Source organism: Homo sapiens, chromosome 9, assembly GCF_000001405.40.
Source record: "Homo sapiens chromosome 9, GRCh38.p14 Primary Assembly".
NCBI classification, from domain to species: domain Eukaryota; kingdom Metazoa; phylum Chordata; class Mammalia; order Primates; family Hominidae; genus Homo; species Homo sapiens.
Genome location: NC_000009.12, coordinates 8397352 through 8413752, shown reverse-complemented (window position 1 = coordinate 8413752; position 16401 = coordinate 8397352). Strand labels below are relative to the sequence as shown.

At 35.1% G+C, this 16401-nt stretch overlaps 1 protein-coding gene across 55 annotated transcripts in view; it reads left to right on the top strand.

The window, feature by feature from the left end:
* PTPRD (protein tyrosine phosphatase receptor type D) overlaps positions 1-16401 on the top strand; it is a 2298757-nt gene that overhangs the window by 2199250 nt on the left and 83106 nt on the right. For all 55 annotated transcript variants that reach the window (NM_002839.4, XM_017014961.3, XM_006716827.5 and 52 more), the window contains one exon: positions 9093-9216. In NM_002839.4, coding sequence (NP_002830.1) covers positions 9093-9216 — 124 coding nt within the window. The remainder of the gene's footprint in view (positions 1-9092; positions 9217-16401) is intronic.

The window sequence follows — 16401 nt, the reverse complement described above, 5'->3', positions numbered from 1 at the left end:
GTAAGAGACAAATATACTGACACTTTAGATTGTAAATACTTTCTAAGACACCTGAGCACCATGGATATAAGTATTAATGATCATCCTGTGTGACTTCTTTGATTAGAAGCCTATATTTAGTATGGTGTATTGCTACCTTACCTGCAAGCACTAATGGTATTAATGGCAAGGGGTTGTTGGTATATATACTGTGCCCAAAAGGCACATGTGGATAGTCATGTTTTTTAGTGAGATAGTTGTACTAAATACATTTGGTATGAAATGGGGTACAAGAGTTTTTTAAGTGATTATTTGGGATTTTCTGAGTTCCGACAAAGACTGGGAGAAAACATTACTCTTTCTTATTTCATTTTGGATGTAGAATTTTTATCTCTTTCTGAATCAGAAAATGAGATTTGAAATGCATTGACTGAACATTAACAAAAGTTAATTTATGTTTCAATTTAGAAATTCATCTGTTCCCTCCACCTGCATCTGAAACTAAATATGGAAAAAGAAACAAAGACTTAATAAAGAAACTTTCTGTTAAATGACAAGCAAAGCAATGATGAAAGCCTAAAATACATCTATGTTTAGGATGCAAAGTAAAAATAATAGGAAGAAAAATCGTATGTTTAAAATTAGGCTAGACATTTTCATATTTGATTAAAAGAATTACTGTTATCACTTAAGCTCAACTAATCCGACTTTTAAAAATGAAGATGATTTATCTTAACAATTTTCCTTATAGTGTTTCTTAAATGATGTTGTAATATCAGTCGCACAACAATTGTGAAACCAAGCTATTCATTCATAATTTGTTTTTTCTTTTGAATCTACTTATGTACTGAGTTTTCTGAGTGGTCAAGTTTCTATTATATGAAATGCAAAAAGTGAGAACCATATGCAGCTGTGCTCTTTTTTGTTGTCTCTGCCGGAAAAGTAAATCAGTTTGCAAATTACATAGATGGGCATGTTATATAGTAAGTAGGAGAGCAGAAATAGATTTATTTGTTAAATTGAGCAGTTGCCTCAGTTTTATACTTCAGTATCAAAAAAGGCACCGTTAGCATCAAGGAGAATGCAGATATTCCTTGGAGGCTAAGATAGTCTTCTATCAGGGATGTTCTTATACAAGTCACAGGGTAGAGGCAAGAGAAGGCAAAACATCTAGCATTCTTTTAGTAATAACTGTGCATCAGGTACTTTTCGCTTAATACTTTGGGATCTATACAGATGTGTCAGCATTTTCAAAGAGCAGTGAGGAATTAATGCATTCATCTAGTTAATTTGGTGGCAAAAACTGGGACCTTGTTATCCATGGAAAAGAAAGGATGCAGCTGTGAATTAATTCTTCCTAATTTACTAAAACACTAATTTACTAACACCGTAAATTAGTGTTTAATGCTGCACATTGATTGTATTTGCTAGATAATTTTGTCTGTTACCTATACTCAATAATATTCTCTTTAATGTTGCCATACTCTTTAATGTTTCTAGGTGTGCATAACCTATTTTAATATTTTGTTTAATGAGATTGGGTCTTGCTGTGTTGCCCAGGCTGGACTCAAACTCCAGGGCTCAAGAAGTCTTCCTGCCTCAGCATCCTGAGTAGAGTAGGTGGGATTACAGGCACATGCCACCTCACCAGGATCCTCTTTAATTATTAAATATCATACTTTATAAGTGATTTGCAGATCAAGTGACTTCTTCTTATAAGTCATCGTAATTACATTTTACCAATTCAGTCAACATTGTCTATTTAAACAAAGCAGTTTAATAACTTTCTAATACATTTGCTTGCCCCAAACTGCCTGGAAATTCTTTAATACTCTTTGCTTTTTCAAATAACATCAGAAATTCTAATCTGTGAATTGTATTTGTAAAGTGATTTCCAATGACACATTCTATTCTTAAGAACATCAACTATATAGAATTCAAAGATGTGAAGAAATAAAAAAAGAACATCACCTATAAATCTGTCCATCTCTTTCTTATTATTCACCTTATCTGATGTAGGAGATAAATAGCTAAAAATGAAAACATTAGGATTAACACATATCGCTGATCTTATTCCTCTAGCACATTGTCTTTGGAAACTAGAAATGTCTTTCTTCTGCATTTAGTAATATTCAGGAAAATGTTTGGCATATTAAAAAGCCATGTATAGTGTTGGGTGTAGTGACTCACGCCTGTAACCTCAACACTTTGGGAAGCCAAGGCAGGTGGATCACTTAAGGTCATGAGTTCGAGACTAGCCTGGCCAACATGGCGAAACCCTGCCTCTACTAAAAATACAAAAGTTAGCCAGGCATGGTGACACATGCCTGTAATCCCAGCTACTTGGGAGGCTGAGGCAGGAGAATTGCTTGAACCCGGGAGGCAGAGGTTGCAGTGAGCCAAGATCACGCCATTGCACTTCAGCCTGGACAGGCATGACCCTGCCACAAAAAAAATAAAAATAAAAATAAAAGATAAATAAAAAATTTTAAAAAAGTATATAGTAAAAAATCTAGTTATTTAAATCTTTAATCTTAAAGTTGTATGTTCTTTTTTGGATTCTTATTTGGAACGATCTCTCAAAAATAATCTTTTCTACAGTCACACACTAAAATAGTAAAACACTTTATCTGAATTCTAGAGAGTACCTCATGTTGGCCTACTGAGTTAAAAAAAAGAATTAAGTATTTTTGGTTTTGTTGTTGTTTTTCATCATTTTTAATCCACGTTAGATTAAGATAATTCTAATATACTTCTGGGAATCAATGGTTTCCTCAGTGAAATAAACTAATTCATCTTTAGTACTATGATATAATTTAGAATAAATTGTTTATCAAAAGTTTACCTCAGATATTTACTCACTTGCCATGGATGAATGATTTACTATGAGCATAGTTTATCCTTTTTGTTCCCTGCATGTCAGTTCTAATAATATATATTATTACTTTAAGTAATTTTCTATACGTATTTGTTATATAGTATGTTAGAGTCAAAATTTCAAATGCAACCATTAGACAACAGGTAAAGCTGATGCATTTTATCACTTATCTGAAGCCAGAATTTTAACTGTGTACAAAAATATGTGACTGAAACACTTTTTGATGACTTCAATGAGTGTGGTATATTTATACATTTTCTATGCCTTTTCTACTACTAAAGGTGGGGCACTCCCACATCCATTCATTTGTTAATACTGAGAGTCTTGAAAAATCTTTATTTCAATCCTTCACACTCTAATGTTGGCCTGGATCAGAGGTGCTCTTACAGAGAGAGACTCAGTAAGATTTGATAACTAATTGGACAAAGAGAGATAAGAGAAAATGAGGACACACACCTGACACTAGGTTGACATTAAGAGGAAAAGGGAACACAGAGCAAACAGACCCAAGTTACCTGACCGGCCAGAGCTAACCAGGGGCAGCCAGAAAGCTAACACCCTGTTCTCTGACTTCCAGATTTTGTTCACCACTGGACTTTCCACTCCTTCCTCACATTTCAGTTTCTAAAACATCATAGGATTCAACTGAACTCATGCTCTTCTCTTTGAAGAAAGTATTCATTATGCCAATTGCAGGCTTTTACTAATTGTGCAAAATATAGCCCTTCCCATCTATGCAAACGTGGTCTTTTCCAAATGGGCATATATTAATTTACCATTTTCAAACAGAGAAGAGAGAGACAATGAATGAGAATTTTAAAAGGCATAATTGCAGAATACACAGTGAATGGTAGATTGCTCTTCTAAACCTCAGAAAGGACTTGAGAATATCTCAGAGCCAACCACACTAAGAACCAAATGAGCCTACTGAAGGGGAGATATGTGAAAAGATACTGTTTCTTTGGAAGTTAAGGTCATTGAAAGTTCAATTCCCTGTAAAAAGAATGGTTAGTCTGACCCATGGTTTGACGAGTGAAGTAACTGGTCTATTCCTTCTATATAATTAAATTTTTGTTAGTTGTTTTAAAAACACACAAAAACAGGATGATCTTTTTTTGTGGTTTCTCTTTGATGAGTTTCTAAAGGGAATATTTTGAGGTTTTTCTCTTGGCGGGATGAGGGAAAGTGAAACACAGAGCAACTAGTATTGTATGGTGTTTTGCACATTTGAATTATATTTTTCTTCTGGGTAAAAAGGTTGAATTTTGCAGAATGATTAAAGGACTTTGCTTTAAGATAATGACTTCAGCATTATTGAAAAAGGTTACTCCCATATCAGGATATAATTTTACTTGGTGACTGTAATCTGATGTGCAAATTGATGATCACTCTCTTGTTTGGAGTTTAGAATTACAAATAGAGTTCAGCAGTACTACACAGATTGTTCCCAACCTTCTGTGCGTTGTGTTTCAAGAGAATAGTTGAAAGGCAAGTGTGAAACCTTCAAGGAATCTTCTCCAGCTTAACTAGAGAGAAAGCATCTTATGGTGGCTGGGCCCTCAGCCTCCAGGGCCAGAATATGTGGACCCCCAGCCTGGCCTCTCTCCCTGCTAGCTGTTTGACCCTGAGAAAGTTATTTGTCTTATCTATACCTCAGTTTCCTCATCTACATAACTGTAATCATAATGGCAACTACTTCTAGGGTCTTTGTGAAGATAAATGAGTTAGTATGTACAAAGCACAAAGAAAACATAGTAAATGTTATCTAAGTATTAGTTACAACTATTGGATATATTTATATTTTAATTCTGAGTTTTTGTCGAGAATACAATGCAAACCTCTAATCCATCTGCTATAGCTTATTTTTTCAGTTACCTAGTTTGAGATAAACTTCTAGTTGATCAAATAAAAAGGATTAGAACTTTCAGACCATCAAGTTAAAGACTAAATAAATGCAAAGTGTTTTATATTAGCAAGTATCTGCTTGAGACTTTCCCGTTGTTCTTTAAATCACTCACAATAGGATTTTTTCTTCTATTGGGTCATTTTTTCTGAGTAAGCAAAGCCTTTGAGTTGAAGATCTGTTGTTAGCGTTAGAAAGGTTTAGTCAAAAGCTGCGGTGGGGAGGAGGAGTCAAGTGCCCAGTGTGCAGGCAGGGAAGCAATGTAAAATGGTGCGGCATCTTGGTAAAACTTTAGACGCTATATGGGGTTCATCCAATATCTGTCTTTCAAGAGGCTTTTTGATTGGCTGGAGACACAAAAAATACGACGAAGTAGCATTTTTGTGAATTCTGTGATAATTTATGTATTTCGTATCATGTATAAAAGTGTATTAATCAACTTTTACTTAAATAAATCTAGCTTGCTTTATTTCTAACTTGCAAAATTCTCCACAACGGAGACTGAAGAAAGCCTGGCCAGGATTTCAGCTTGGGAAGGTAAAACTTCAGATTGAGTGCTGGGAAGGCAAGGGTATCCCATGGAAGATTATTTGGGTGGACAGAGTTGAGTAGACATATCTAGGAGTCAAGCTCAGGAAAACCAAACACTAACAGCAGCAGACCCAAAAGAAGGAATTGAGTCCATTAAGAACAAAGGTGCTTATTTCAAATTGTTTTGAATAATTAATATTTGGGTAACCTCAGCTTAGCTTTATAGTAAAAAAGATGCATGGTCAGGGTGGACTGACCGAAAATACAGGGTTGAAGTGAAAGTCAACTTTTACATTCCTCAGGGTCTACATTGCTCTTTCTTCATTTTGGCCATCTCACTCTTCCTTAAGAGGACAGCAGCAAGAGAAGCCTGAGAACAGAGAGGCAAAGCAACTGTGTCTGTCACCAGCAATTAGGGTCTTACTCATTCATGATCTCTTTGTCTTAGTAATATGGATAACTGAAATTTGATTTTCCTCAACCAGTTTTATGTATTTTTTGAAATATGAAAGATCTTAGTATACCTCACCAACTTTCAGTTGTTATTCTTTACTGAGTTTACTGCTGTCAGCATTCTGACAAGCTCCAAAAATAATGACCCGTGTTGTGTTTTGTTAAACGTTCAGTCAGACAGATAGATACAGATGGATGAGTGCTGTGTTGCACAAAGACAAGTCAGCATTATTTAATCAATGTTTGTTTGATCCGTGTAAAACGAGTATAAACGTAAGCTGCATCCCATCTGTTTTATCATCCATGTGAAGCCAACCTCATTTTTAAAACTTGATTTCTTATGTAATTGCCCCAGAATGACACAGGCTGATAAGTTGGGAAGAAATATCATTTGGATTGGTGAAATAAAGGATAGTGATGTGTAGGTGTGTTTCTTAAGTTGGGCTTCTTCCTTTTGCAGTGGCATTCTGGATAGTTAAGTAGTATCATGGCTTAGTCGTTACCAGCTGTTAATTATCAGTTGAGCTTTGGAATCACACAGACCTGGTTTGAGGGTAACTGTATGAATCTAGCTGTGTGAGCTTAGCCAAATTACTTAAGTACCAAGTAGCACAGAGCCTGTCACGAAGTAGGCCCTCAGTAAGAATAATTAAATTAATCTTTCTTTACTTCAGTTTTCTCACCTGCCAAATGGAAAAAAACAATACCTACCTTGTAACAATTGTGAAAATCAAGCATAATTCTTCATATAAAGCATAATGACCTAGCACGTATTTTTATAATTATCCTGTTATTTGTTGGTCTTCATCTCATGGGCCACACTTTGAACCTAAGCGTATTATCTAACATAGGTGGCACACAACTCATGTTTCTGTTACTCGTTTTTAAAGTCTTCAATGTAGGTATCAAGTAAGTCCTACAGAAGGCTGAAAACATGTGGCAAGAGTGGAAATGGACATGAGTTAACAGTTTGTTTCAGTTAATAGATGCAATTTCATTGCTATAAGTAAATGCATGCCATCTTATACATCTGTGGGTGATCTTAGTCTAAGTAAAACAAGGATATCAGAGGGAGCACTGTACGTATACCAGTGAGCTTAGTAGCTTCTTGGGATGTTTAAATGATGTGTAAGAAGCTTATGTATCCAATAATGTTCATCAGTATAAAGTGGAATAGCAGTGGTAGTTATAATTCCATGATCACATACTTAATCACTAAGCCATATGATAATGGGTGTTAAGTATGATAATTGTGGTATACTGTACAATGAAGTTTCCATAATTTGTTCTCTAACTCTCATGTTATATAGAGGAATTACTCTATGATTTCTCTTTATGAACTTTTCTCAAAAACATTTATTCATCAATTCTGTTCATTTGCTTAAATAACATCTGTTGGACCATTTACTGAGCCAGGTGTAGTGTAGATGCAAAGATGACGAAAGCTGCATAGGTAGGAATTTAGAATTTAGGCTGTAGGTCACACAGAGCCAGTGGAAGTTATTAAACAGGCAGCCAACCTGTCCAGAGCTATGCTTTAGAAAGACAACTTTGGCAGCAGTATGAAGAGTGGATTGGAATAAGAGATTAGAGAAGGGATTTCAATCAGACAACAGATACCAATGTTCCGGATGTAGGAAGTAGCAATGAGATTGCAAATTTGAGAGATTTTTAAGGCAGGCCCTCATCACTGAGTGGAGCTGTTCTGTGTGGACATGGTTCAAGGTTGACTTGAAGGCTTCCACCAGGACATCTGAATGCTTCAATACCTTCGGCTCATAGCATGCTTGGAGATAATTAATTTCTGCAAGGGAGATGAAAAATTTCCCTGGAAGAGCAAACTAGAAAGTCCCTTAATTATATTAGTTTTCAGACTCTAAGGTATGGATAATTATTAATATTTTCCTGAATACTGCTCATTGATTGACTATTTTGTATATAGATTAACACAGGCTAAGAAAGGAAAACAGTTTAATAATCCTTAGTAAATTAGAGGCTGGAATCTGTACTGCTGAGAATTTTAGAATGCTTGGAGGCTATTCAAGACTACTAACAGACTTGACTTTTGACACTTGTGAGTTTTACTGTTGTGATAAATTCTGTGCCTTTTGACAGAAAGTGTGCACATCTTTAGTATTTTGATGCTGTTGGGGGTATGTTTTACTCCCAACTTCTACATATACACATAAAGGCATGAAAAATACCCGGCATCAAAAATAACTGCTAAAAATTATGTTAACATAATAGAGTATATTTTAAAAAAATTACCTGGGTATAAACCTGTTTTATCATTCTTGAAAACTTGATTTTGATCGTTTAAAATCATGTTTGTGTCATTAATGAACTTGTGTTTCCATATAACAATGAAATTATAAATCTTAAATGTTATCAGTAGCCTATGATGAAAGAAAAAGTATTTTGATTTCCATAACGTTTCAGGAAATGAAGTCCCCTAGAGTTTTATGATCAAACCTGAATTTGGTCTTGAAATGATGATTCTACTTAAATATTTTTAAATTACATACTTTATATACCTGTTTGATGTTTATTTTAGATTGTTGAATAATTTGGTTGAAATGTACCATCAAAGAAAGGGATAAAATCAGAAAAAAAAACTAATGTTAAAATCAAGAATAAAAAGCAAACTATAAACATAATAACACATAATAATAAATAGAAAATATATAATGATAAATAGAAAAACAATTTATATGCATTGGGTTGTATCTTATTCATCTGAGTATTAAATTAACTGACCTCCCTTCTTTACTGTTCGTGTTAACTATTTAAATTGTACAATTTGCCTTGTAATATTGGTCTTAGTGTGTTACAGAGAAACAGACAAAACCTTAAGTTGCCATTAAGTTGTGAACATGTAGATAAAGAATGAACAGTAAAGCCTGTGTCCATTGAAGCCAGTGAAAGACCAGTTAACTTAAAGACTCAGCTTAGGTCCAGATAGGAAAGAATAGGGAAGAATAATCAATATAAAATAAGGTTTACAGAACCGGAAGGAATATTGAACCAAGATGACTTGTAAACTACAGCAGCAGAGAGGGAAATGGAAAAGTAAAATTAAGAACCTGCCTTTCCAATATTAACAGAACATCTGTATTGATTTCTTTTTTCATTTGAATCAATGTTGGTGACTATCACTGTTTCTGCAGTGATTAACCATTTTTTGTTATGCTGGTTACATTAGTGTTCAGCTTCACAGTTAGGATCATCTTGATGAAGTATGGCTTCAGAATTTTCCTTTTAAATCATGTTTATTACATGTGATAAATGCCTATAATCTGGTGGTTTTCAGTATTGATTTTGTGTATATGTGTTGTTTTCCTTTTAAAGTCAATTGACCCTGGCCAGCAGTTCACTTGGGAACATTCAAACTTGGAAGTAAACAAACCAAAGAATAGATACGCGAATGTAATCGCATATGATCATTCCCGGGTTCTCCTATCAGCTATAGAAGGTAAGGAAATGCAGACATCACTGATACCTTTATTTTCATGGATTTGAGTATGTGCATGAGAATATTGTTTTAGTGAGGTTATTAACCATCTCTGAAAGTAATTAAGATGGCTGTGCATGGTGGCTCACGCCTGTAATCCCAGCACTTTGGGAGGCTGAGGCGGGTGGATCGCCTGAGGTCAGGAGTTCGAGACCAGCCTGGCCAACATGCTGAAAACCCATCTCTACTGAGAATACAAAAACTAGCCGGGCATGGTGGTGGGCGCCTGTAATCCCAGCTACTCAGGACGCTGAGGCAGGAGAATCACTTGAACCCAGGAGGCGGGAGTTGCAGTGAGCCGAGATCGTGTCACTGTACTCCAGCCCCAGCCTGGGCAACAGAGTGAGACTCCATCTCAAAGAAAAAAAGAAAGTAATTAAGATTCAAACATAGCTTTTTCCTACTTTTTCTTTCTCACACAAATAAATTATACATAGGCCACAATATCCCTGACACCATATGACAGAAGTGCATCTCTCATTACCTTCTTGCCTTTACCCTAAAGATTTGATAATGTAGTTGATGTTTTATATGGGAAGCGAATTGAGGTTGCCCATTTTAGTGATGGGTTTTGGTTGTTATGAATGAACAGGTGATTGTCAGAAGAGGCCCATAAACTAAATGGTTATTTTAAAAGGGGAGAGGGGATTGTTTGCTTGTAAATAAATCTGGATATCCACTGGGGACTGTCTAAAATTTCAAAGTTGATAATGTGGTGGTTAATATAAATTAAGTATGTTGGAAATGTCTAATTTATCTAATTTGTGGACTGCTTGGTAATCTGCCTCTTAGAATTGCAGTAAGGAGTGTGTTCCAGAGGGCATGATTGTTCCTAAAAGATGAGGGTTGCTCCTCAACTCTATCCAGCTTCATTAAGGATTCATGACGGATCATTTTTCCAATGATAAATCCCTTTTGTGTGGCATATTAAAACAACTAGAAGTTCATCTTCAACACACAGTATTTCATTAGTTACTCTGGCTACAGGAGCACATTGGATTGGAAAGTCCTTAGAAAATAGTTTAGGAGGCCACTTAAATCTGTGCCTCTAACAGTCAACCTGGGTCACCCTTGGCACATGCCATGTTCACCCTCATTAGTGCCCAGAAGAGTTTTATGGCCTCTTCATACTTGAAGGTTCACTGTTTACATTCTTGAAGATATTTTAGAAAACAAATAAATTATAGTAGCTTCAGACCCAGTTATTTTAAGGACTTTATAGTTGAAAGATGTTCATCTGTAGTTGTTCGAGTACCTGTCCCTGTTTTCTGCTTCCAAAATCTCTGCTGACCACCGCTTTATTTTATAACTCTGACCACATCTCCTACCTGCTTCCTCAACGTCCAAAATTTATTTGAAAGTGAAACTGTTTAAAAGCTTTCTCAGTAGGCACCATAGGCCATTAATACATTTGTTTCCAGTTTTTTTGGGAAGAAAAACTATCTTTCAGCATTTGAACAATCCTATACCTGTGGCCCTCCTTACCTCAACATGGCATTGTTTTGCATAGATATATTTTGTAAAATTCTCATAATAAATTTACTTTGGATGGTGGAAAATACTATAATCCCTTTTCTAGGCACCCACAGATACTAAGTGTTCAAGAGTTAGCCTTTTTCCACACTGAAAACAATTATTTAAATTTATTAAAATTTTACCAATACTAGATCAGGCATAATAATGTCAAATGGGTAATCGCTTCTTTTCAAATTCTGTTTAAAAACTGTAATTAACATATGTGGATGATTACCTTACATTTATCTCTATGTTTTCCATTTTAAAGTGTGAAAAAATACAGGTTTTTTTGTGGGGGGTCTCAAGTCTCTTAAATCATCTCCATAATAAATGAAAAACTAAACTGAGTCACAAATAGCAGAGAGAAATCTTTTTTCCATTAGCAAAAGCAAGGTAAATTATTGAAATAAAATAAATGAATGTAAGTTGAGAATCTATTTGGCATGGTCTCGCCTGGGGAACTTGTCAGTCTGCCTCTGCTCTATTGTAGCATTGTTTCCACTAAGAATTAGGTCATTCAATAACTACCACTTCGCTGTACTTTTGCTCACTTTGTCATTATTTTTCTTAACCTGTTATTTTCCACATCTTTAAAGTATGTTGAGGGATAAAAACTATACCTCCTTGTATCTTTATTCTGATGGTTGAAAACTATGCACATTTCGTTCCTATGCTGGTTTTATATTATAAAAGCAAAAGCACTTGAATCACACGAAAACCTGTCTTTTTATAGTGCTGTGTTCACAAATACACCCTAAATCTAGAGCTGACCTAACATGTTAAGTGTTATGCAAAAGGTTAGAAGCATTTAATTGAAGTTCATGAGCTATAGAGAGCTTTCATCTAAATTACAACCGTGAACAGCATTTTATCTTAAACTAAGCGCTAACCAGCAGGTATTCTTGAGGGCAGTCAATCATCCTGTATCTTAAACACAGAAGAGAAAATACTGGCAACTGGAACCACAGAACCACTAACTGAGGCTTCTCCTCTAAAGACAGCTTTGATAATACAGGGCCAGCTTTTAGTATACTGAAATATTAAGTGACTTCATGCACAATTTATAAAACTTAATGTGCTTGTTTTGTGTTCCAACCAATGTTACTAACTTAAGTGACTTTGGTTGAGAGTTTTAATTTGGGTGTTTTTGTTCTATTCTCTCAGTGGTGCTAGTTACTCCTTACATTATTTTGCAAAGTGATCTGACAGACATTAGAACAACAAAAACTGGAAGTGGCCGCAGTGATTGATGTTGTCTTTATATTTGTTTAGTAGAGCAAGTGTATATCCTACTTCCACTGAGAGAATAACAGGGAAAAATTAAAAGAATCAGGAATTGTGTGTGGGCAGTAATGTGCTTATTGAACTTTTTGAAAATAGTGACACTTGGTGACATCTTTCCAAATCACAGTCATTTTATTTAGGCTAGGAAAAATGCAGAATAAATTCAAAAGAGTCCTAATTACAAAATGGTTTCAATTGTTTAATTATAGGGTAAGCAGTATGGAAACAGAATTGAATTTTTGACAAATCCAATTACCATTGGCATCCCCTCTATGTTTAAGCAGTTCTTAAGAGAAAATAGTAATTCCTGAAGAAGAGGGCAATAGGATTTATTGTAATGAGTTAAGATAAATATTTTCTACAAAAAACTCGCTAGTATGATGGTACGTGCCTGTAGTCCCAGCTACTCAGGAGGCTGAGGTGGGAGGGTTGCTTGAGCCTGGGAGGTGGAGTTTGCAGTGAGCTGAGATTGTCCCACTGCACTCCAGCTTGGGCAACAGAACCAGACCCCATCTGGAAAAAAAAAAAAAGAAAAGGTAAATATTTTCAAATAAAGACCAAATGGAAGCTAATACTTGGATATTGGAAGCTAATACTTGGATGTGCATAAACAGAATATATAATATTATGCCTAAACTTGTAGAATCCAAAGTTGTTCAGAAAGTATGTTTTTATGAGGAAAAGAAAATGGACAAACCAAAAGATGAAGAACAAGGAAATCTGAGGTTGGGTCACTAACTAGCTAGGTGACCTTGACTTCTCTGAATATCAGTTTTCTTAGTGGTAATCTCTTTCATTTCTGACTTCTAAGAGTTATCTCTATGTAGTTTCCTTATCCGTTGTTTTATTGGCTGTACACAACAGTCTAGTGAAGCGGCAGTGTGAGTATTTTACTAGATATATAGGTATTCACATTTATAGATGAGAAAACTGAAGCTCAGACAGGATTGGCCCAGAGTCACACAGTCACACAGAATATAAATAATATAACTTGCTAGAATCCAGCTCTTCTGATTCCTGGTCTGGGTCTTCCACTTTCCCACATCACTCATAACACTTTCCTACCGGTGCAGGATGTGACAGTGTCTGAAGTCACTTAGCATGGGTGGAAAAGCTCAGTCTTATCTTTTTGCCTAAAAATCTATTTTATCTTTTGGCATTAGCCTTATGGATAACATAAATATTAGGTTTTAGAACTTCATTTCCTATTTCCTATCTCATTTCCTATTTTATGGCATGACTAACCTGAGGCAAGGACACAATATGGGAATCATCAAATGCATCATTCAGGTGGACCAGAGTCATAAGATTGCAGAACAAATGTCAAGTACATGTAAACCTAATGATAATACAGGTGATCTGCTTACCTTAAATATTGTTGTATGTATCTTTAATTTCTTGTTGACCAAGGGGTATCAATTAGTGGCAGGTTATTTATTATAATGCCTTCTAATTAGCAAAAATTAATTATTGCAGTTGTGGATAAAAAAGAGGTTGTTGTTCTAAAGTATAATTAATCTTCACTGCTGCCAGTACTGTTTCCATTAGTAGGATTATAATTAACATTTTGTTTTAAAAGCCCTATTGACATGGATTTTTAGAAAAGTGTTAGCCAAGTCTAAATATAAAGCAAAATTAAAATTCTGCTTTTCAATTCAACAACAAAGACAAGACATTATAATAGATATGATTATCTGGTTATCTATTACATGCCGAGCACCATGTTATGGAGGCCCAACCCCAAAAGCTAGTTGTCATGATCTGAATTTACAGATGAGGAAATGGAAGCATTTAAAAAGTCAGCAAACTTAAGTATGATCAATAGCTAATAAGTGACAAATTCAAAATACTAATATATGTCAGTCTCAAGGCAGCTGTTCTTCCCATTAGTCTACGCAGGCCCAGAGCGGCTTTTGAAATCATAATAGCCCTGCCTGTGTACATCAAACCTAATTCAAAACTGATGCCTTTTTGGCTGGGAAGATTGTGTAAGAATTTTCAAATACACATTTTGAAACACTTAGGATAGAAATCTTAGAACTAGAGATCTTCAGTTGTGTTCTTAGACTCCAAGTCAAAATGAATTTTTCCAAAGAATAAATGACACAGAAATGATTTTCAGGTGTGTTTTTTTGTTTGTTTAATCTCACGTTTTAAGGTATATTGGGAAATATACTGAATAAAGAGACAGAAAACTGAAAACTAAATTTCAGTTTAAACAACAATGTGACCTTGAGCATTTCACTTAATGCAGTTAACATTCACTCTTTGGGGAAGCTGGATCCTTTTGATAATTTCACGAACATTTAAACCCCACTTGAAAACATAGAGCACTTACATACTTTATTTGTACACTAATTTCAGAAAGTTCATGCATATACAATCTCTTTGCAAGCCCATTCTCCAGTTTAGGAAGAACCTATGACTTAGAGTCTTTCGTTGTTTTCTTATAAAACAAGGATGTGTAAGACCATCTCTACCATCTCCAGAATTCTGAACATTGATTCTAAATCCTGAGATCAAAAGATAAGTAGGCAAATAAATATTAAATCTTAGACAGTATGAGATGATTAGCTTCTTCAAGGAAAAAAAAAAAAAAAAAGCTTAGTGGGCTTATTCTAAATAGGATTATTGGCTACTATGTGACTCTCACCAAAACAGATTTAAATGGTTTTATCCATGAGAGGGTTAGAAGTGATGAAGAATAAACCTAGTATGTAATATGCATTCTTTAACACTAGTGCTTATTAATCTGATTTTTTTTAAAAAGCTTAGTAAAATAGGGATCCATGTCTTAGTCCATTTGTGCTGCTATAACAAAATACCACAGACTGGGTAATTTATAAACCATACAAATTTATTCCTCGTAGTTCTAGAGTCTGGGAAGTCTAAGATCAAGGTGCCAGCAGCCTTGCTTTCTGGTGAGGGCCCAGTCTGTCCACTTCCAAGATGGTGCTCTGTTTTGCTGCATCCCCTGAGGGAAAGAATGCTGTGTCCTTACATGGCCAAAACGATAGAAAAAGGGCAAACTTAATCTTTCAAGCTTTTTTATAAGGATCCTAATCCCACCCATGAGGGCTCTGCCCTGATGACTTAAGCATTTCCTAAGACCTCACCTCTCAGTACTATCACAGTGGTGATTAGGTTTAACATATGAATTTACGGGAACACATTCTGATCAGAGCAGTGTGTTATTTTTTTCTTACAGAAAGGGTCATATATTTAAAGTTCCAAAACATAAATATATTTATTCACTTCATCTCTTTAATAAGTAAAAGTAAGTACCTTCTTAGGAGGGCCTATATGCTGCTCAGGAACCTCTTTCCTGATAACGCATCCGAAGCTCTGCTTGCTTCTGCAGAGCTTGCTCGGACAAGTTGCTGAGCCTTGCTTTCCTCATCTGTATAATGGGATTATTAATAGTACCTACTTCCTACAATTACTAGGAGGATTAAATAAACTAACATATGTAAAGCACCTAGAAGAGTGCCTGGCACCAAGAAAATACATAATAAATATTGGGAATTGTTAAGATTATCTTTAGTGTTATGCATTTTATTACTACTACAGATAGGCCCTTTTAAGTGCAGACAAAATTTCTTTGATATGTGATCTATGGAAAAACTAATATCCAAATGAGAAAGCTGCATATATTTGAAGTACTCTGTAATGCAAAAGAAAACACTGGTGCTTGATAAATGGAAACCAGACCCATAAGAGCATTACAGATTTCAACAGGGGCAAGAATCTATTCTTTTAAATGGAAATTCAAATATATATCATCTGCTGTTTGATTTGCAAAACAGGAGCAATTCAAAAAAATCCAAGCATAAATAATATAGATGATGTTACAATAACTTGATTATTTGTGAGATGGGCAATTTAGCACCTTTAAGATGAGAAAGCTGCTCACATGGAATCACCACCTCTAAGATAAATCCAGTTAAAAATAAATAAATAAAGACAAGAAACTACTGCTATTCCTTCTGTAATGTTATCCACCATTTGCCACCACACTAGTGCTCTAGGTTTCAGTTGTGTCTTAGCCTCTCTTCTGCAGAGTGTTCTGTGGGTAAGTCTATAGCAATTCATTTGAAACAGCTGTGAGCACATGCTAACGTATTCTCCAATTTCACATTGTACCCATGCTGTAAAATATCTTTTTCTTTTCTTTTTTTGGGCAAGGGGCATATCTGGTAACTGGATGTATTTTCAATAAGTAAAACAAAACCAAAAAAACCTAGGAAAATATGTTAATACAGTCTATCCAACATTTTCTAATGGAATGTTAGTTATAGTGAATATAAATGTTCCATGTGAAGTTCTAACATCAAAACAATTACAATT